General features: G+C 37.3%; 1 protein-coding gene across 21 annotated transcripts in view, besides 1 other annotated feature; it reads right to left on the bottom strand.

Moving 5' to 3' along the window:
• OPRM1 (opioid receptor mu 1) overlaps positions 1-18182 on the bottom strand; it is a 236372-nt gene that overhangs the window by 201899 nt on the left and 16291 nt on the right. For 8 of the 21 annotated variants that reach the window (NR_104348.1, NR_104350.1, NR_104349.1 and 5 more), the window contains exon 1: positions 5135-5558. The exons of 2 other annotated variants lie outside the window; for them this stretch is intronic. Coding sequence is in view for 15 of the 19 variants with exons in the window: in NM_001145282.2 (NP_001138754.1) it covers positions 5135-5424 (290 nt within the window). In the remaining 4 variants the exon portion in view is untranslated. Of the gene's footprint in view, positions 1-5134; positions 5868-18182 lie in introns of those variants that run through there. 11 more of the 21 variants (NM_001008503.3, NM_000914.5, NM_001145286.3 and 8 more) reach the window with 4 other exon arrangements.
• Positions 4970-5469: an enhancer, noted in NCBI's record as "H3K4me1 hESC enhancer chr6:154360635-154361134 (GRCh37/hg19 assembly coordinates)". NCBI's record gives its function as "activates a minimal SCP1, AML or CMV promoter by ChIP-STARR-seq in naive H9 embryonic stem cells {active_cell/tissue: H9 hESC(naive)}" and the evidence as "EXISTENCE:reporter gene assay evidence [ECO:0000049][PMID:30033119]".

Below are 18182 nucleotides of genomic sequence, written 5' to 3'. Positions count from 1 at the left end.
GTAAGTAAGAGCTACAGTGCCTGACCACCACTAGTACATTTTTAAATCTCATATAGTTGTATGTTATTTCTCAAAATGAGCTTATTTTTTCTTGCATCTGACCTTAAAATATCTGTTTCAACTACTGCCTTAAACGGAATCCTAGGAGAAATAATATTTTCAACTTTTATATGTAAGAGATCCTATTAGATGTTCAAAATCTCAAAGTAAATATTGTCAGCATTTATTATTTGAATACCTACAGACACCAATTAATTATTTGTATTTTCTTCTTAGCAGTAGAGAAATTATGCTTTATTTAAATTTATTAACCGATTTATTTTTTTTGCAGCAGTAGCTGAGGTTTTTTTCTGAGTATTATACCTAAATATTAATTAAAACAATTAGCTTAGAAAAATGCTTGCAAATAAATTTTTACAAATAATTTTTAACACATTTAAAAAAAAATAAGATCAGTTAAAAGTACTCAGAAGAGTTAATGGCCCGAATGTTTGTTTGTTTTCTTTTATGTTTGTTGGTTTTATTTGACATCTATTTTCTAGCATTGGCCTACTGGAACTATAACAACTTGGAGTAATTAGGGAAATTATGTGTTTAAGCTTAAACATATGATATGGTACCAATTATAAAAAGTTATGAGAACATACAAAAACATTTACTATGTATGTGTGTTTCCATATGTTTACTATATATATATGTGTTTCCATATGTAGTAAATGTTTAAAAACATGCATGTGAATAACTCACCACTAAATTTATGATAGTGGTAGTCTCAGTGACAGGAGGGTATTAGGAGCAGAGAAGAGACTTCAACTGTTTCAGTCTGTCTATCTCTCTCTCTCTCTCTCTATCTATCTATCCATCCATCCTTTAAGAGAAGAATTGTTCTGTAATTATATATTTTTTATCTTTGGAGATGTTTCATAAAATATCAGATAGGTCATTCTTTCAAGAAAGAAAAGAGAGAGAGAAGAATATAGGAAACTCGTTGATTGGTAATGTCATGCAAATGACAAAGACACAGCTTACAACCAAGGAAAGGAAAAGCAATTTAGTGTGTTTAGAAGACACAGAAGAAGAGTTGTTCTCCTCTGAATTAGTTTCTATATGGAAAATAGCACTTAAAGTTCAAATTGTAATAGGTACCAGGAGCTCTCCCTTACTAAGTGAAAGGCATGCAATTAAGTTAGTATTTTTTAATGTAAGCCATTAAATTGAGAACTGAATTTTATTTAGTGTTTTTCACTTTAAATCCATCCTCTAATTAGGATATTTTGTGGGTTTTAGAAAAGTGAATTTTATTAATATTTGAGTAAATAAACTATTATCTTTTTATTTTATGAAAATTACTAATGATCATATTTAGTGACATGCATTCAAATTGATTCAAATATGTATGTGTGTGTGTGAATTTATATATATATATATATACACACACACACATATATATCCTTATATTAGATAAAACATTATTGTTCACTAATTTGTAGCTACCTGAATCTAGATTAAGTTTAAAAGCTTATACTTCTGTTTCAATCAAGTATAACTGATCATTTTTAAATTTAAACCTGAATCAAATATTTAGTATATAGAACAAGTATAAGCTCACAGGACTTTTTCTAAAATCAGAAATACTTGTTAGGAAGGAGAAATGACAATAACATCTTGCACGTATTTAAATGCTCTTCTCTGATAATTAGTTATATTGAGAATTTATCTAACCACATTAAGAAATAATCTTAAAAATGAAGGTACTATTACTTGGCACTCTTCATTGGAAATTTACTGGAAGGATGGTTTACGCAGCCCACAGAAATCTCAAAGTTTCTAGCCCTCCACTTTTCAACAGTGTCTGTACATACCATGTTCATAGCTACATGAACAAACCTTGGAAAAAGAATTTCCCAACATAAACACATCTGGGATTATATTAGTTTTTGCAGTTATGGGTAATTCTATAGTCTGGTTCAGTTATTAAATATTTTCCCAAAAGTGAAACATCTCTGGTGGCTGTTACTTTTTGTTTTGATTTTTTTTCTTTACAGTTCTTGACAATGAAATACTATCATCCCATTTTAAGTGATTGCTACTGTTTGTAGTATTTTCATCACATTTTCTAAAATCTTTGTGATAATTTTCATAAGGTTATTCTCCAAGCATTATTTTTCTTTAAAACCAAAAAAGCTTTCAGGTGATGGTTACTGATAACATTTTTATCACTTAACATCTGGACTTAAAATCTTTAGAACATATTACAGTTTCTCCTTTCCTCCCTTGTATTCCTTAGAGTAGCCCTGTTTAAGAATCTCATTTAAGTTATACTACTTAATAATGTTGTTGATGAGGGGATGATGATGATGGTGTTACAAACAGAACCAAAGAGTTAATCACAGCGTCCATGTTAGCAGTTATTTTTGTTGTTGTTGTTGCCATAGTCATCTGAGCCTCATGATTCACTCAATGTACTAAAACATTTTAATAAATATTACCTTAATATAATCAGAAAACTGCAACTACTTGATCATTCAATAGCATTTGTTGAATTTTAAATAGGGAAGGAAGTGAACATTTCTCCTCAATACTTAATAGATGCAACATTATATCCAGCATTTTAGCAAGGACAATACATCCCTGAACTGATCATTTTGTAGTTTAAACACCGCAGCCTGGAGACAGTCAGTTAAATGTTCTCAGCTAAATAGACATACTTGCTTCAGTCCCCAGATGCTTTCCCTGTCGCTTCATCTGTCACTAACTTGCCCATTTTTCTGTTTCACAGTCACATTCCAAGAGGGTTACCTAACCCTGCGATTAAAACCCAGCCTGCCACAGGTGGGTGTTTGGGATGACCTTTCAAATAGTACTGCATTTTGTAAGAACTTTCAGTACCGAGAATAAAGCATAATAACATGTTCTCAGTAAGATGCACCGTCACCATGTTTCTCCAAGTCAACAAGAGGCCAGAGGTAATGCCTTTAAAACTAACTCACCCAACCAGCAACCTCTTCTACACTGGAATAAGACCAATCTGCTCATTTCACAGCCAGTTGCCACTCTATTGGCTCTCTCTGTATTGCAAAGCATAAACTAAAGGGTAGAAAAATGAGGAAGGAAAATATCAAGAAGCAATAAAAGGGAATAAAATATTATGTTTCAGATGGCAGGATTCCTAGATGCTTTGGTATTTTTGTTTCATGCTTTTTTCCTTCAGGATTTCACATAGAATTTGGGGATAATTTGTTATTCCCAAGTTATTATTGCTATATCAACCCACTCTGTCAACCTAATAGTCGAATTAACTCAAATCATGATTTGCCAGCACAATAAAAAAAAAAAATATGTTAGCTAGGAGAGATTTAGTGGCACTGAATTAATGAACTATCTGTTCTTAGAGAAAATAATTTACATTTTCTGTGCCTCAGTTTATTTACTTAGCATAGATAATCTCTAGAGTCCCTTCTAGCTTGATTAGTTTATGATTCTATGAATTTCTTTTAGAAAAAATGAGAAACATATTTTCCCTTCACAAAACAGGCCTTTAATTATAACTTTTATTGTCATAACTGCAAAATTAAACTTGGTTTTTAATCTTCAATGTGAATCATTGTATTGAATTACTTAAAGTAAATGTTTTTAAAAATAAATACTTCCATCGATCTTCTTGCATTTTTCCTTCTGTTGTTAGCCTTCCTCTCAATAGATGGTGCTCTTTTCTTACAGACAATACTTATCTTATTCCTCATCAAAAGATCAGGGAAATTAGCTTTACTCTTTAAAAATCATTAATTAAAGAAATCAGACAGATGAGTAGAAAGAATTGCTTATAAGCAATTTGCAGCACCTGGGTAATGAAAGCATACTGGAGAGAGCAATTCTTAAATGATTTAAGAGCTCCGCTGAAACCTGCAATACTTGCTGAATAGGTGAAACAAACATTGTAACTAAATATGAAAATGCCATGTTCCCTATATACACATACCCCTGGTTAAAAAAAAAAACCCTCGAATTAGGAACTATTTTAAAGTGTTAAAATATTTATCTTCTTTAACAAAAACAGATATATGGCATTTCACATTCACATGTAGTATTTGAATATACACATCAACACCAACACAATCAATATCAATCTCAGTCAATACTGAGAGCTTCCACACTCTGCCAAATATACCGGGAACATCTGGGTAAACAGAAAGTGGACTACAACTCTTTTGAATTAATTTTACTTGATAAGAACACTTTGTCTAGAGCACCCATCACAACTTCCTGTATAAGAGTTTCTGCAGTTTCTAATGTGGAATTATGATGCTTTTGGTCACTCCTAATTAGCTCCAACTTGTGAAGGCAATGAAATACAGCCATGTCCTGCGGTTCTCCTGAACCAACCTACCCATTCCAGATGCAGTTTGTGACTTAGGCGATCTGAAGCTACTAACGGCAAACTGGTCTAGGCAACACATTTGTCATGTTTGTTATAACAGAGGAAAACTGTCATGGAGAGATGCTAGGAAAACTTCCTCTACCTAGTGTTGCCTCAGGATGAAAGGAAGAGTTGGGTAAGGGCTGCTATGGCAGGGGAGAAGAAAGGGTGGGGTTGTGGTACAGGGAAGTACTAAACCAGCAGGAGTAGGAAAGTTGCCAAGGTCCATCTCAAAACAATTGAGAAGACTTGAGACTGCTCCCCCCGCCACACACACACACACCGGCCCCAACCAAATTTGGGAAAGCTAACTAGAATTTCTCTCCCATTATTCACAACTTACTCTTTCCATAGCTCCTGCAGAGGGACTGAGTGTAGGACTCTGCCAAGAGCCCTCTTTGCTCAGTATAAGGAAGCGCTCCAAGTCTATGCTATAGCTTCCCTCCGCCCCCCACCCCTAGACATTTGTAGCTTTTACCAAAGCAACTTCTCTGCTCCTGAAATTTTGAATTCTTTCTTTATCAGTTGAAGAAAAAACAGAAAAGTAGGTTTTCTCATAGAAATAACAATCACTGTCCGTGGTCTCCTCCAGAGTCCCCCCAGTTTACCTCCCCTCTTTCATCCTCCCGCCCAACATTGAGCCTTGGGAGTTAGGTGTCTCTTTGTACCCCCTTAAGCCGCTGAACCCTCCGCTCGGAGCCCTGGCGCTTTCCTTACCTGACAATCACATACATGACCAGGAAGTTTCCGAAGAGCCCCACCACGCACACGATGGAGTAGAGGGCCATGATCGTGATGGCCGTGATCATGGAGGGACTGCCGGTCGGAGGGCACAGGCTGTCTCTCCCGCCCAGGTCGGTGCGGTTCGGACCGCATGGGTCGGACAGGTTGCCATCTAAGTGGGACAAGTTGACCCAGGAACCGGGGCTGGGTGCTGGGGAGCAACTTGAGTACGCCAAGGCATCAGTGCAATTGCTGGCGTTCGTGGGGGCAGCGCTGCTGTCCATGGTACTGACGGCCGGGCGGGCACCGCTGTGCGAGGTAGCCAGGAGCACCGAGACTTTTCGGGTTCCAAGCGCCTCAGCCGCTTCCTTTCGCCGCTGCCACAGCTCCTGCTGTTTCTTACAGAAACCAGTCCTGGCTGAGACAGAGAGGAGCGTCAGGCGGAGGGGACCGAGCTGAGCATCTGACATTCTCCTCTGCGTATAGCCCCCTCCCACCTTAGTAGTTCACAGAGGCTCATCACCTGCCCCGCACCGCTGCAGGAGGGGAGCGTGGGCCATGCGGGATTCGGAGGCTGGAAGGGAGGGAGGAGGGAAAAGGGGTGGATTTTGCGCAAAGCGATCCAAGGAGTAGGTCTCTTCACTGGGCACTCTTCTGTGCAAACACATCTAAAGGAGGGAGATGGAGAGAAGGGTTGGGGAGAGAGATAGAGTTAGTCTTTGGTAGCAGTGAAAAATAAGAAAGGGGGCTAACATCACTCAATTTTCCAGCGCCTTTTTCTCCTTAAAATCTGGCAGGGAATACATTGGCTTGATGAAACCCTAACAGCCCTAAAACCCCAATGCTCTTCCATCCCTACTGCCAATTTTGATTATTTAGGAATGGGGGACACACAATTTTCTTTTGCAGTCCTTGTTGCCTCCGTTGCCAACATCTAAGAAAAGGTAATAATGTTTCTCCAATTTTCTTCCCTACAAACCTGTTGGGAACAACAGCGATCCTTTATTTTCTGAAAAAGAAATGAGAAACAAATAAACTTTTGTGCAGAAAACCTGTTCCTCATTTTCCCCAATTTCTAGGGTGAAGCTCTGTTTGCCTCTGATTTTGTTTCAGTGGGTAGGAGGCATAAGAAGTGGTTACAGAAATCAGAAGGTTGTGGCATCCAGTAAAGTCAACTAAAGATAATGTTGATCTTTCACATCTTAAATCTCATAGACCTGTTTGGAATTGTTTATCTTTTTTATCTGAAGACTTCCTCGATAGACATATGCTTCTGAGAAGAAGGTTGTTAAAACAAAACAAAATTTGCATTCAGTCTGTTTTCTAGTGTAAAAATTCTAGGAAAAGCCACATAATATATGGAATTAGAGTGGCCTACAACAAGATCCTTGAGAAACATGGATACGTTTTTGAATTTTATACCTTACTTCTAAGTCCATGAGTGCTTCTATTTTAGAAATAAATTTGTAAATACCAAGAGTAAGTTCTTGGTCTTTTTTTTTCTAAAGTTAACACCAATTCTGAAGTAATTCTCATTTCTGTACATGTATATATCTGTGCATGTACATATCTTTTAACCATAAACATTGAAAATACATGTCCTCAGTTGGTCTTGAAAAATTCACTGCAATTTCAGGGAGCAGGGAGGGAAGATCTTGAAAGGAACATTTAATTCCAATATTATTTTTTGGCATTTATCTTAGAAACAGATAACTCATAGGTAAACTCTATTAATCATAGGCTATTTTGCCAATGTTCACTATTATTTTTATCCTCTTACATTAAAGCATATAATTTACACAATAAAATGTTACAGAGATTTCCTAGAGACTAACAAAAATACCTTAAAACATATTCTTCCATGAACTAATGTAACAATTCTCTTATATTGAGCTGAAATCTGTCTGCCTGCATTCAGTTCCTTTGTGCTTAGTTCATGTGGAAGACAAGACACAGTATAATAATTCCTGACCTTGGAGTCAATCATTTTATAAATCAGCTTTGTAACTTTGTAGCTGTATGAGTTTGGACATGTTACTTTACCCTACAGGATGACAGTCTTCTCATTACTTAAAAAAGGCGAGGGTAGGCTAATAATATTCACCTCATATGTCTGTTAGCAGGATTAAATGAGTATACATTGCAATAGTAATTGCTTAATAAGTGATAACTCCTTACCACTATATTTCATATATTTGAAATCAACTGAGTTTTCTCTTTTGCAAGTTAAACATTAGCATCATTCAGTTGTTTCTTATAAGATGTAGTTCTGAGTCCTTTCAGTGGCCTTGCTGTTCATCTATTCTCATTATAGTTTGTCTATCTGCTCTGAAACTACAGTTCCAGTGTTAAAAATAATGACCTAAATTTGCCCTGACCAAAAAACAAACAACAACAAAAAAAGAAACTAAGCCAGATTATAAACTTTGTCTTTCTACCAGTACAATGAAAGTCCCTTTTTTTTTTTTTTAGTTTTATTTTTTGGTCACGTTGTTCTCTTGACTCTCCTTAGGTTTACCAATGACAAAATTTCCTAAACACAATCCAAGCCAGTTCCACAAATACTAAAGATCTGCTTTGGACCAGGTGCTGTGATAGGAGCTGGAGTTTAAAAAGATGGATACAATAGTGTTTGATTACGGAAACTTTCTTCTTATGCCTGGTGAATCATATGTTTCATCTCCTATAAATTTATAGTTGCTTTGGAGGGAGCTCAGTACAACACTATAGATTTTTTTACTTTTAAGTTACATCTTGTTAGATCCAATTCATGATTCTTATCCACCAAGATCTTTTGGAATGGTGATTCTGTCATCTTTTGTATGCATTTTTTAATATACTTTATTTACTCTCCTAGCTTTGTACTCCGTAATAAGGTTCCTAAGGGAGGTCTGCTCACTAACACAGTACTTAATACATAGTGGACTCCCTCCCTCACTCTCTGTGTTTCTTTCTATATTAAACATATATGAATATTAATGTGCATAATATTTGAATTCAGTTGAAAAAATGATTAGCATATATTTTATGCCATTATACCCAGATAATGGCATAAAATATATGCAATCTGGGTGATAAATAATATAAAATAAAAATAAAACAATCTGGGTGATTTTTTTAATGACACAGTTTGAAAATAAAACATCTTTATGGGAAAACCTTAATGAAGACGTTTTGTCCTTTTTGACTCAATATAGTCTGTCAACCAACCAGGACTTAAATGTATAGACTTATGGACTAGCCATATGCCTTTTCTTCTAGAATTACAGGCAAAGAGCAACCCCATTCCCATTGCCCTTTTCTAGAAACAGTTGTTTTTTTATTCTGTTTTATAGAAAAATGCAATTACTCTCTAGAGCAGGACTTGAACTTTGTGCTTCATATTCTCAGCTGAGATTGATTTTTTTGTTTTCTATTGGTCTTTATCATCTTTCAGTGAGGATAGTTATTATCCTTCTATTTTGAATATAGAATATTCTGGTTATCATTGCATGTCCTTCCTTAAGTTGTTTAACATTTATATCTTGGTATCTTCCACCCATTTAATATACAATTCAGGAAGCTGCAGAACAAATTTAATTTTCTTTCAAATATATTGACAGTCTTGAGAAACCTAGAGAAAAACTGTTCCAGAAATAATAAATTAATACCACTTAATATGTAGTATAAAAGCACCTCAATTTCAAGTTTTTGTTATTTCAGAGTTTCCCTATGGTATATTCCCTGTTTCCTCCATAATTGTTCATTTCCTACTCAATTGGTCTGAAGTCTGTTGTGAAAGTTCAAGTCTCTCATAAAAGGAGATGGACTGCAAATAAATGAGTCAATTTATTACAAACATAATTATTTCATACAGTATTGATCCCAAATATATCTTTTATTTCATTGAGCCTTAATATGTAATTTGTACAATAGAAATATCTGTCTTTTTGTTGATGCTTCTTGCTTAGCCCAGGCTTTCTATTCGAAGCAAGAATAATTTATTATCTATACATTTAGATTGAACATTGCTATCAAACCCATATCATGCAACATTTTTCACAAAAATTATTTGTTTCAAAGCAACGTATTTATTCATAGCACGGATGAATCCCAGGAAAGTGCTAAAAGTCACTTCTCTTCTTTGAATTTCAACATCTATTGGCTTAGTTATTCATAGAATTGCCTTCATCCTACACTTACTTTAATAGCTTAGTCCTGATTCTGTTGAGAGTGGCTGTTAATGGAACACATGATTAATGGCTATTAATGAGGAACACAAACATAAATACTATGCAGGAAACAATTACAGTGGTTTGAAGCTCAGAAAAATGGGACATCCAAGGTTTCATTGGAGGAACATTTTATGTATTTGTTTATAGATATTTTCTATGTTATCTAACTTTTAAATGGGCATAGCTAATGAGAATGCAAATGCATTGTGATACAATATTATCCTTGATCACTGGATTGTTGCATACATATCAAGTAAAATGGAATAGGCACTCTTTATTTGCATGGTAAAAAAATAAATAAGTAAATGAAAGCAAAAAACTCCTCACACCAACTTCTACCCAATAAACCTAAAACAAAGCCATCTAGAATAAAGTGGATGAAAGCCCCGGACTTTTGATTAAAAAAAAAGCAGTTCAAAATCCAGTCTCAACTATTTACTTCCTTGTGACTTACTAAATTACTTATACTTCCTGATATTTGGTTTCCTTTTCTGTAAAATAAAAATATGAGAATCAACTTCAAAGAGGGTTTATAGGATTACACACATATGAAAGAATTTATCCTTTGTTGTTTGGCTTTTTATATCCTGTTGTATGTGGCCTAGAAATTAGCAAGAAGAATTATTATAAATAATACACTATATTTAACTGTACAGAATCGTCCTTAAAGGACCTGATTCTTTTAAGGGCCTGAAGGTAGTATCTAGGGTCCAACTAAATCAACTCTTGAAAATTTATCCAAAAACAACTAGTTTAAATGATACATAAGCCTAAATGTCTTTCTAAAATCTGGAACCTCATTTCTATTCAAGTCTTGCTCTTCAATTTCCAGTTACAGAGGTTTGCCATTACCCTAGTACAGCCCCTTATCACTTTCTAATAGATAAACAGTTGTCAGATGTTTCAGTCTCAGGACTCTTTACACATTTTTAAATTATTGAGGATCCAAAAAGCTTTTCTTATTTAGGTTATCTTTATCACAGTCTATCACTTCAGAAATTAAAACTGAGAGCTCTATAAAAACATTTCTTTATCATTATATTTTATTTTATTTATTTATTTATTTTAAAACAGAGTCTCACTCTGTCGCCCAGGCTGGAGTGCAGTGGCGCGATCTCAGCTCGCTGCAAGCTCCACCTCCCGAGTTCACGCCTTTCTCCCGCCTCAGACTCCTGAGTAGCTGGGACTACAGGCGCCCGCCACCAAACTCAGCTAATTTTGTTTTTGTATTTTTAGTAGAGACGCGGTTTCACCGTGTTAGCCAGGATGGTCTCGATCTCCTGACCTCGTCATCTGCCTGCCTCAGCCTCCCAAAGTGCTGGGATTACAGGCGTGAGCCACCGCGCCCGGCCTCAGTCATTCTTTAAATAAAAATAGTGATCCACGGAAAAAGTGGTTAATTTAGTTCACAGCTCAAACAGGCAACATGCGCTTTTCTTTGGGACAAGCATTCTACTTTAGTTTGTGGCAGAAGCTTCATGTGTCCTTCCCATTTCATCATACACAGATTTAAAGAGATGTACTCAAGGGCCAAGATTTAATACAATTAATACATTTTACTGATCCATTAATTATATTTTTAAAAGTGGAACTTCTTTCGTGTTTTTCTTCTGTGAGTGCACGTCTGTGAAGAGTACAGTGACTCTTAGTATGCCATGGGGTCACTGTTTCGATTCCTGCTAAGGTATTAGCAGTTGAACTCATGATTGCTTATGCCTCATTTGTGCAAAAATACAATACAGTGAAAAAGCCATTTAACTTTCTAGAATTATTATTAAAATTTTTTTGACCTTGTTGATCCATGGAAAGAGTCTTAGAGACCCCACAAATCCACAGACCACACTTTCAGAAGCACTGATTTAGGTCATCATAAAAATGTCTCAGCTTCTTTCTTTTGTTTCCTTTTACTCCATTGAACATTTGTATCAGTGCCATATAAATCTTTCTAAAATCACTTCTTGAGCAAATCACTCTTTTGCATTATAGCCTTCAATACTCACAAAAAAAGTGTATTAACCTGCATTCTTATCTCTGTACAACTCTCTGTGCTTCCTTTCACTTGATTCTTTCTCTCATCCTCCCCTCCCTGAACTTCATGCTCCAAGGGTCACAGAGAAAGCAGTGGGGGTAGTAGCACTTTTCCAGCGCTTTAATTCCACTTTCAAACCCTTGCACATCTGCCTTTGTATAAAAGACTCTCGTTGGTGTTAATACCATGGGACTATTCCATTTTCATTAAAAACTGGCACTTTATTCATGTTTTCATCTCTAACCCAAGGCCTGCCTTCAACTTTCTCTCTGTTTTTCACAGCTTCCCTTTCTCCTCCTCCACACTTTAAAATCTGGCCTTTATTTCCAAGGACTTTAGGGACTTTCATAATGTTAAACCTATTGGTGTTTTAGTCTTTATTTTACAGCATCTCTTATCTCTTTCTTCCATAACTTTATTTTTAAAAATTACTTTCCCACCCTGACAATTTATTTTGGTTTATCTTAATGCTTTCTTCTTCCTTTGCTTGCATTTTAAATGTTGATGTTTTCCAGCATTCTCTCTATTAACCTTTTCAGCATATTCTTAAGTAATCTCAAATCATTCTTGTCTTGATTTTAACCTATATACTGATAGATCCAACCTACATCTCTAGCTCTGTTGTTTCTCTAAAGCTTCAGATTCTAATATAGATAAGTTTGGTAGACATTTCCACTTAAATAACTCATGAGCACTGGAAATACAACATGCCCAAAGCATTTTCACCTTCCTATCCAATCATAGTTCTCTTAATGGCATCACCATCTCCTGAGTTCCTCAAGGCAAAAATCTGGCAGCCTTCCTTGGCCTTCTAGGTAGGCAGCACTGTTCAGTGGTTAGAAATGTGAACTCTGGACTGGGTGAGGTGGCTCATGCCTGAATCCCAGCATTTGAGAGTCAGAGGTGGGAGGATTACTTGAACCCAGGAGTTTGAGACCAGCTTGGGCAACATAGCAGAATCCCATCTCTACAAAAACAAAAAATTATCCAAGTGTTGTGGTGCACGCTTGTAATCCTAGCTACTCGGTAGGCTGAGGTGGGAGGATCACTTGAGCCCAGGAGGTTGAGGCTTCAGTAAGGTATGATTGTGCCACTGCACTCCAGCCTGGGTGATAGAGAGAGATCCTGTCTCTAAAAACAATTTTAAAAGAAGTATAAATTCTTATGCCCCATTTATTGCTAAAATCTTGTTTAAATCACAGGCAATTGGTGTGACAATGAACAACTTAATCAGCTGGTTGATGGCCTGATTTTTTCATTTGTAAAAGTGAGTTTCCATAGTGCTTACTTTATAAGACTTTTATGGGTGTTAAATGAGCTTCGTTAATAAAGCACTTACAAGAGTCCTTGGCACAGTATGCATCATATAAATTTTTGTTAAAGAAAATCATAGACTGCTCTCACTGCCTTTCCCACATTCAACTACCACGATTGTTGACTCTACCTTTTGGTATCATTTTTGTTGTTCAGACTTTCATGGCTCATACAGAGTTGTACAGTGAGCTCTTAACTGATCTATCTTCCTACATGTTCATCCTATACACTGTAGCCAAAAACAGATTAAAAGAATGGAAATCAGACTGTGCCCTTGCTGATCATGCTTGTTGGCTCCCCATAATGTACAGGATAAAGTTAAACATCCTGACATCTAAGGTCCTTGAGGACAAACCCTTCTAGCTGCATTTCTGGATACTCACCGTTTGCTCCTAGCTCACCATGAATCCTCAACAGCTTATAATTCCCTGTACTTGCCATGCTCTTTCTTCTCTGTTTTTGCTCATTTTTTTTCCTCTAGCACACAGTAGATATTTAATAAACATTTTATTTTTATTATTATTTTTTTCCGAGACGGAGTCTCACTCTGTCACCCAGGCTGGAGTGCAATGGCGCGATCTCGGCTCACTGCAATCTCCGCCTCCCAAGTTCAAGCGATTCTCTTGCCTCAGCCTCGCTAGTACGTGGAATTACAGGCGTGCACGACTATGCCCAGCTAATTTTTTTTTTTGTATTTTTAGTAGAGATGGGGTTTCACCATTTTGGTCAGTCTGGCCTTGAACTCCTGACCTCAAAAGATCTGCCCGCCTCGGTCTCTCAAAGTGCTAGGATTACAGGCGTGAGCCACCGCACCCAGCCAATAAACATTGCTTGACTCACTGTAAGGCACTGGTTCTGTTGACATTATAGACTGGCAGTTATAGAATATAGCAGCTCCTCAGTCTTTTCTGTAGCAACTGGTTGCCAGGAGAGTAGTGTAGACTCCATGGTTTGGTGCATTTTAGACATATGCAACAGAGTAGCTCAGAACTTAATGACCTGTGCCAAACAATTAATTGATAATTTTCTCTTTAAGCACTTTTAGTAAAATAATAATTTAAAATTGTCCAAATACCAATATTTTATATTAACAGTAAGATATTGCATTTTTGAAATGAGATTTATAGAAATGTGAACTACTCACAGAGCTTTTGATGAGATTAAACTACATAGAAAATTTTATTTTTTTAATTGCTTTAAATGTAAAATTAAACTTCCATGGTAACCTTAGAATTAAGTTACACTTAGATTCTTTGTGGCTGAAATTTCTGCTTCTTATCTTGGATTATATAGTCTAGGCTTCATTTGCATCCATTTGCAGGTTCAGAGAGCAGTGCTAATGTAACTTGTCTTTGTATTTATCTGTTCTGTGACTGCTTTCATGTAAGAACAATGAAAGCAGTCCATGTATTTTAATGGTGTTTATCACTCTCGATCCTTTTCAGCTTCATAGAATGTTTCCTCTTTTCAGTGAAGAGATTGCCAAAATTGATATAGAACAAGGTCTGTTACCCAAATTTCTTCTCTAATCTCTCTGTATTTTTAGTAGAGATGGGGTTTCACCATGCTGGTCAGTCTGGTCTCGACTAGACTGTCTTTCTTCTCTAATCTCTCTGTACTTTCCAAATCTTATAGGGGAAAATACAAAAAAATTTTTTTTGTACTAAAAATTAATTTGCTACTGGGAAAGTCAACTGCATGTATTTGGTGAATATTTTCTATTACTCTGTTTTTTTTTAGCTTATAATTTTACTTGTTTTCTCCTCATTTCCCTTGAAAGTGTCCAAGCACACAGTAAGACTATTGATTAAGGTAAATTGATGCTTTGAAGTTCATTCTTAATTATACCTTACTATCAAATGTTTAAATTCTTAAAGAGACAGACATAGTCCTGTTTTGAATCTTTAAAATTTTTCTGGGTATAAAAGAAAAGTTCTAAAATCCCCAGTGTCCCCACAATGCCTGTCTTTTTATTTCCTTAATCAAGTTTTAGAACCTCAAGAGCAAAAACCAGGATTTACCCTTCTTCATAAACGTATTAATATATCCTCTTCTTAAACGTAAATGCACACCAAGGGGAGACTCTCAGAGGTCTACAGTATGTCAGGTATTCTACTAATTTTTAAGGAAACAGACCTGAATAGAATTATTAATGATAGACCATTGTGTTAGTCCATTCTCAGGCTGCTAATAAAACATATCTGAGACTGGGTAATTTTTAAAGGAAAGAGGACTCACAGTTCAATACGGCTTGGGAGGCCTCAAAAATTAGACCATTCTCACGCTGCTAATAAAACATATCTGAGACTGGTAATTTTTAAGGGAAAGAGGACTCACAGTTCAACATGGCTTGGGAGGCCTCAAAAAGCTTAAAATCATGGCAGACGGGGAAGCAAACATGTCCTTCTTCACATGGCAGCGGCAAGGAGAAGTGGAGAGCAAAGGGGGAAAAACCCTCCTATAAAACCATCAGATCTCATGATAACTCATTCACTACCATGAGAACAGCATGGAGGTAACTGCCCCTAGGATTCAATAAGCTCCCACTGGGTCCCTCCCATGACATGCGGGGATTATGGAAACTACAATTCAAGATGAGATTTGGGTCAGGACACAGCCAAACCATATCATCCAACATATGTTTAGAAAATCTCATCTGGAAATGTGCTTCCTTGTATATTAACATATCCTTTAATATAGCTGCAAGTGTTTAAGTCTTTATTTTTTGAGGATAGAATTGGTTTTTTTGAAATATTAAAGCTAAGTTTATGCATTGTACTCATATTATTTTATTTGTGGTTTAAAGAAAGACATTCAGCTTTAGTGTATGTGAATGAAATTTCTTTTCAAAAAATAGGTTTATGAATTTTTTGAAGGCAGTTTCAAGATTTGTCCTGAACCAGCAAGTTTTTCTAGAAACAGATAATCTTACAAAATGACCATTTAAAAAGATTGCTTTCATTTATTCATATTCTAGAGTGTTTAGTTTTTTTTTAAAGGAAACATTTAATTTGTTGTCACATTGCTCATATACTACTTTACAAAATGTCAGTCTTACGTATATCCAAAGATTTTAAAGGCAGATCAGAGTTTAAAGGCGGCACTGTTTAATATGTGAATCTGTATTTGAACTTAGCAAAGCCCCATGGAAGAGACATAGAGACCCCTACAAGAGAAGGGCTACTGATAAGCTAGACCAAATAAGATAATAATATTGGATTTCTGGTGAAGCAAGATGGCAGAATAAAAGGCTCCAGCAATTGTCCCCCTGATAAGAACACCAGTTTAACAACTATCTACACAAAAAAGTACCTCATAAGAACCAAAAATCAGGTAAGCACTCACAGCACTTGGTTTTAAGTTCATATCACTGAAAGAGAAAGAGGCACTGAAAGGGTAGGAAAAACAGTCTTGAATCACCAACACCATTCCTCCTCCATTCCCCAGCAGTGGGTGGGCAGTGTATGGAGAGTGCTTCTGTGTGCTAGGTAGAGGGAGATTGCAGCATTTGTGACACATTGAACTCAGTGCTGTCCTATTATAACAGAAAACAGAACCGGACCAACTCAGTTGATGCCTGCCCATGGAGGGAGCATTTAACCCAGCCCTAGCCAGAGGGGAATCACTAATCCCAGTGGTCTGAACTTGAGTTCCTGCAAGCCTCACCACTGTGGGCTAAAGGGCGCTGGGGCCTTAAATAAACTCAAAAGACTATCTAGGCCACAAGGACTGCAACTTTTAGGCAAGTCCTAGTGCTGAACGTGGCCAGTAGACAGTGGACTATAGGAGTATGTGGTGGCTAACGGAGAGCTGGCATCACGCCTCCCCTAGCCCCAGGCTGCACAGCTCACAGTTCCAAGAGAGATCCCTTTTCTCCACTCTACGAGAGGAGAAGGAAGAGTGGGGAGGACTTCGTGTTGCATCTTGAATCTCAGCCACAGCAGGATATGGCCCCAGTCAGACTTATGAGGCTCTCTTTTCAGGCTGTAGCTCCTGGATGACATCTCTAGACACACCCTGGGCCAGAAGGGAACCTGCTGTCTTCAAGGGAAGAACCCAGTCCTGGAAAAATTTACCACTTGCTAATGAAGAGCCCTTGGGCCCTGAATAACCAGCAGCAATACTCAGGTACTATGTCGAGGGCCTTGAGTAAGACTGGAAACTTGATGGCTTCAAGTGAGACTCAGCAGGTTCCCAGCCATGGTGACTATGGGGTAAGACTCCTTCCACTTGAGAAAAGTGGCTGGGGGAGGGAGAAGCAAAGGGGACTTTGTCTTGCACCTTAGACACCAGCTTGGCCACAGTGGGGTAGAGTACTTAGTAGGTTCATGGGGTTCTAGGACTTGGCTTTTGCATGGCATTTCTGGGCCTGCCTTGGGCTAGAGGATAGCCCACTACTCTGAAGAGTGAGTCCCAGGCAAGGTAGCACTCATGACAAGCTGACTGAAGAGCCTTTGGGGCTTAAGGGAACAGCAGTGGTAGTCTGGCAGTACTCCCCATGGGCCAGTAGTGGCTCTGGCCACAGGGTGAAGCTCCTCTGCCTTTGGAAAGAAAAAGGAAAAGTGGGAAGGACTGCATTTTGTGGTTTGAGTACTACTTCAGCCACAGTACAATAGAATACCAGATAGAGTTCTAAGGTTTTTGACTCTAGAACGTGGCTCTTGGACAACATCTCTGCACATGCCCAGGGCCTGAGAGGAACTTGTCACACTGAAGGGAAGGACACAGGCCTGGTTGGCTTTGCCACCTGCTGATTGAAGAGCCCCAAGTCCTGTGTGAACATAGGCCACAGCCAGGGAATTGTTATAGCAGGTCTTGAGTAAGACCCAGTGCTGTGTTGGCTTGAGGTCTGACCCAGCAGAGTCCTAGTAGTGGTGGTCTCAAGGGTGCTTGTGTCACACCACCACCAGCTCCACATCGCTCAGAACAGAGAGAGAGGCTCCATTTGTTTTGGAGAAAGTAACAGGAAAAACAAACAAACAAACAAGAAACACAAGAGTCTCTACCTGGTAATTCAGATAAGTTTTCCAGATCTTGTCAAAGACCATCAAAGTGGTCCCTCAATGAATGTGCAAGAACCACAGCATTACTGGGGTTGAGGTGCTCCCTAAAGCAGATACATCTTAGATTAGAACACCCAAGTTATTTTGAATATCTGGAAAGACTTCCCAAGATGGACAGGTACAAATACAAACAAGACCAGGCTGAAAAGACTACCATACATACCTAACTCTTCAATGCTCAAACACAGACAAACATCTACAAGTATCAAGACAATCCAAGAAAATACGACCCCACTAAATGAACTAAATAAGCCACCAGGGACTATTCCTGGAGAAACAAAGATATGTGACATATCAGACAAATAATTTAAAATAGCTATGTTGGAGAAACTGAAGCAAATTCAATGTAATGCAGAAAAGAAATTCAGAATTCTATCAGATAAATTTAACAGAGATTAAAATAATTAAAAATAATAAAACAG

This window comes from Homo sapiens, chromosome 6 (assembly GCF_000001405.40).
Source record: "Homo sapiens chromosome 6, GRCh38.p14 Primary Assembly".
NCBI lineage: Eukaryota > Metazoa > Chordata > Mammalia > Primates > Hominidae > Homo > Homo sapiens.
The sequence above is the reverse complement of the archived record's forward strand: the minus strand, read 5'-3'. Positions and strand labels throughout refer to the sequence as shown.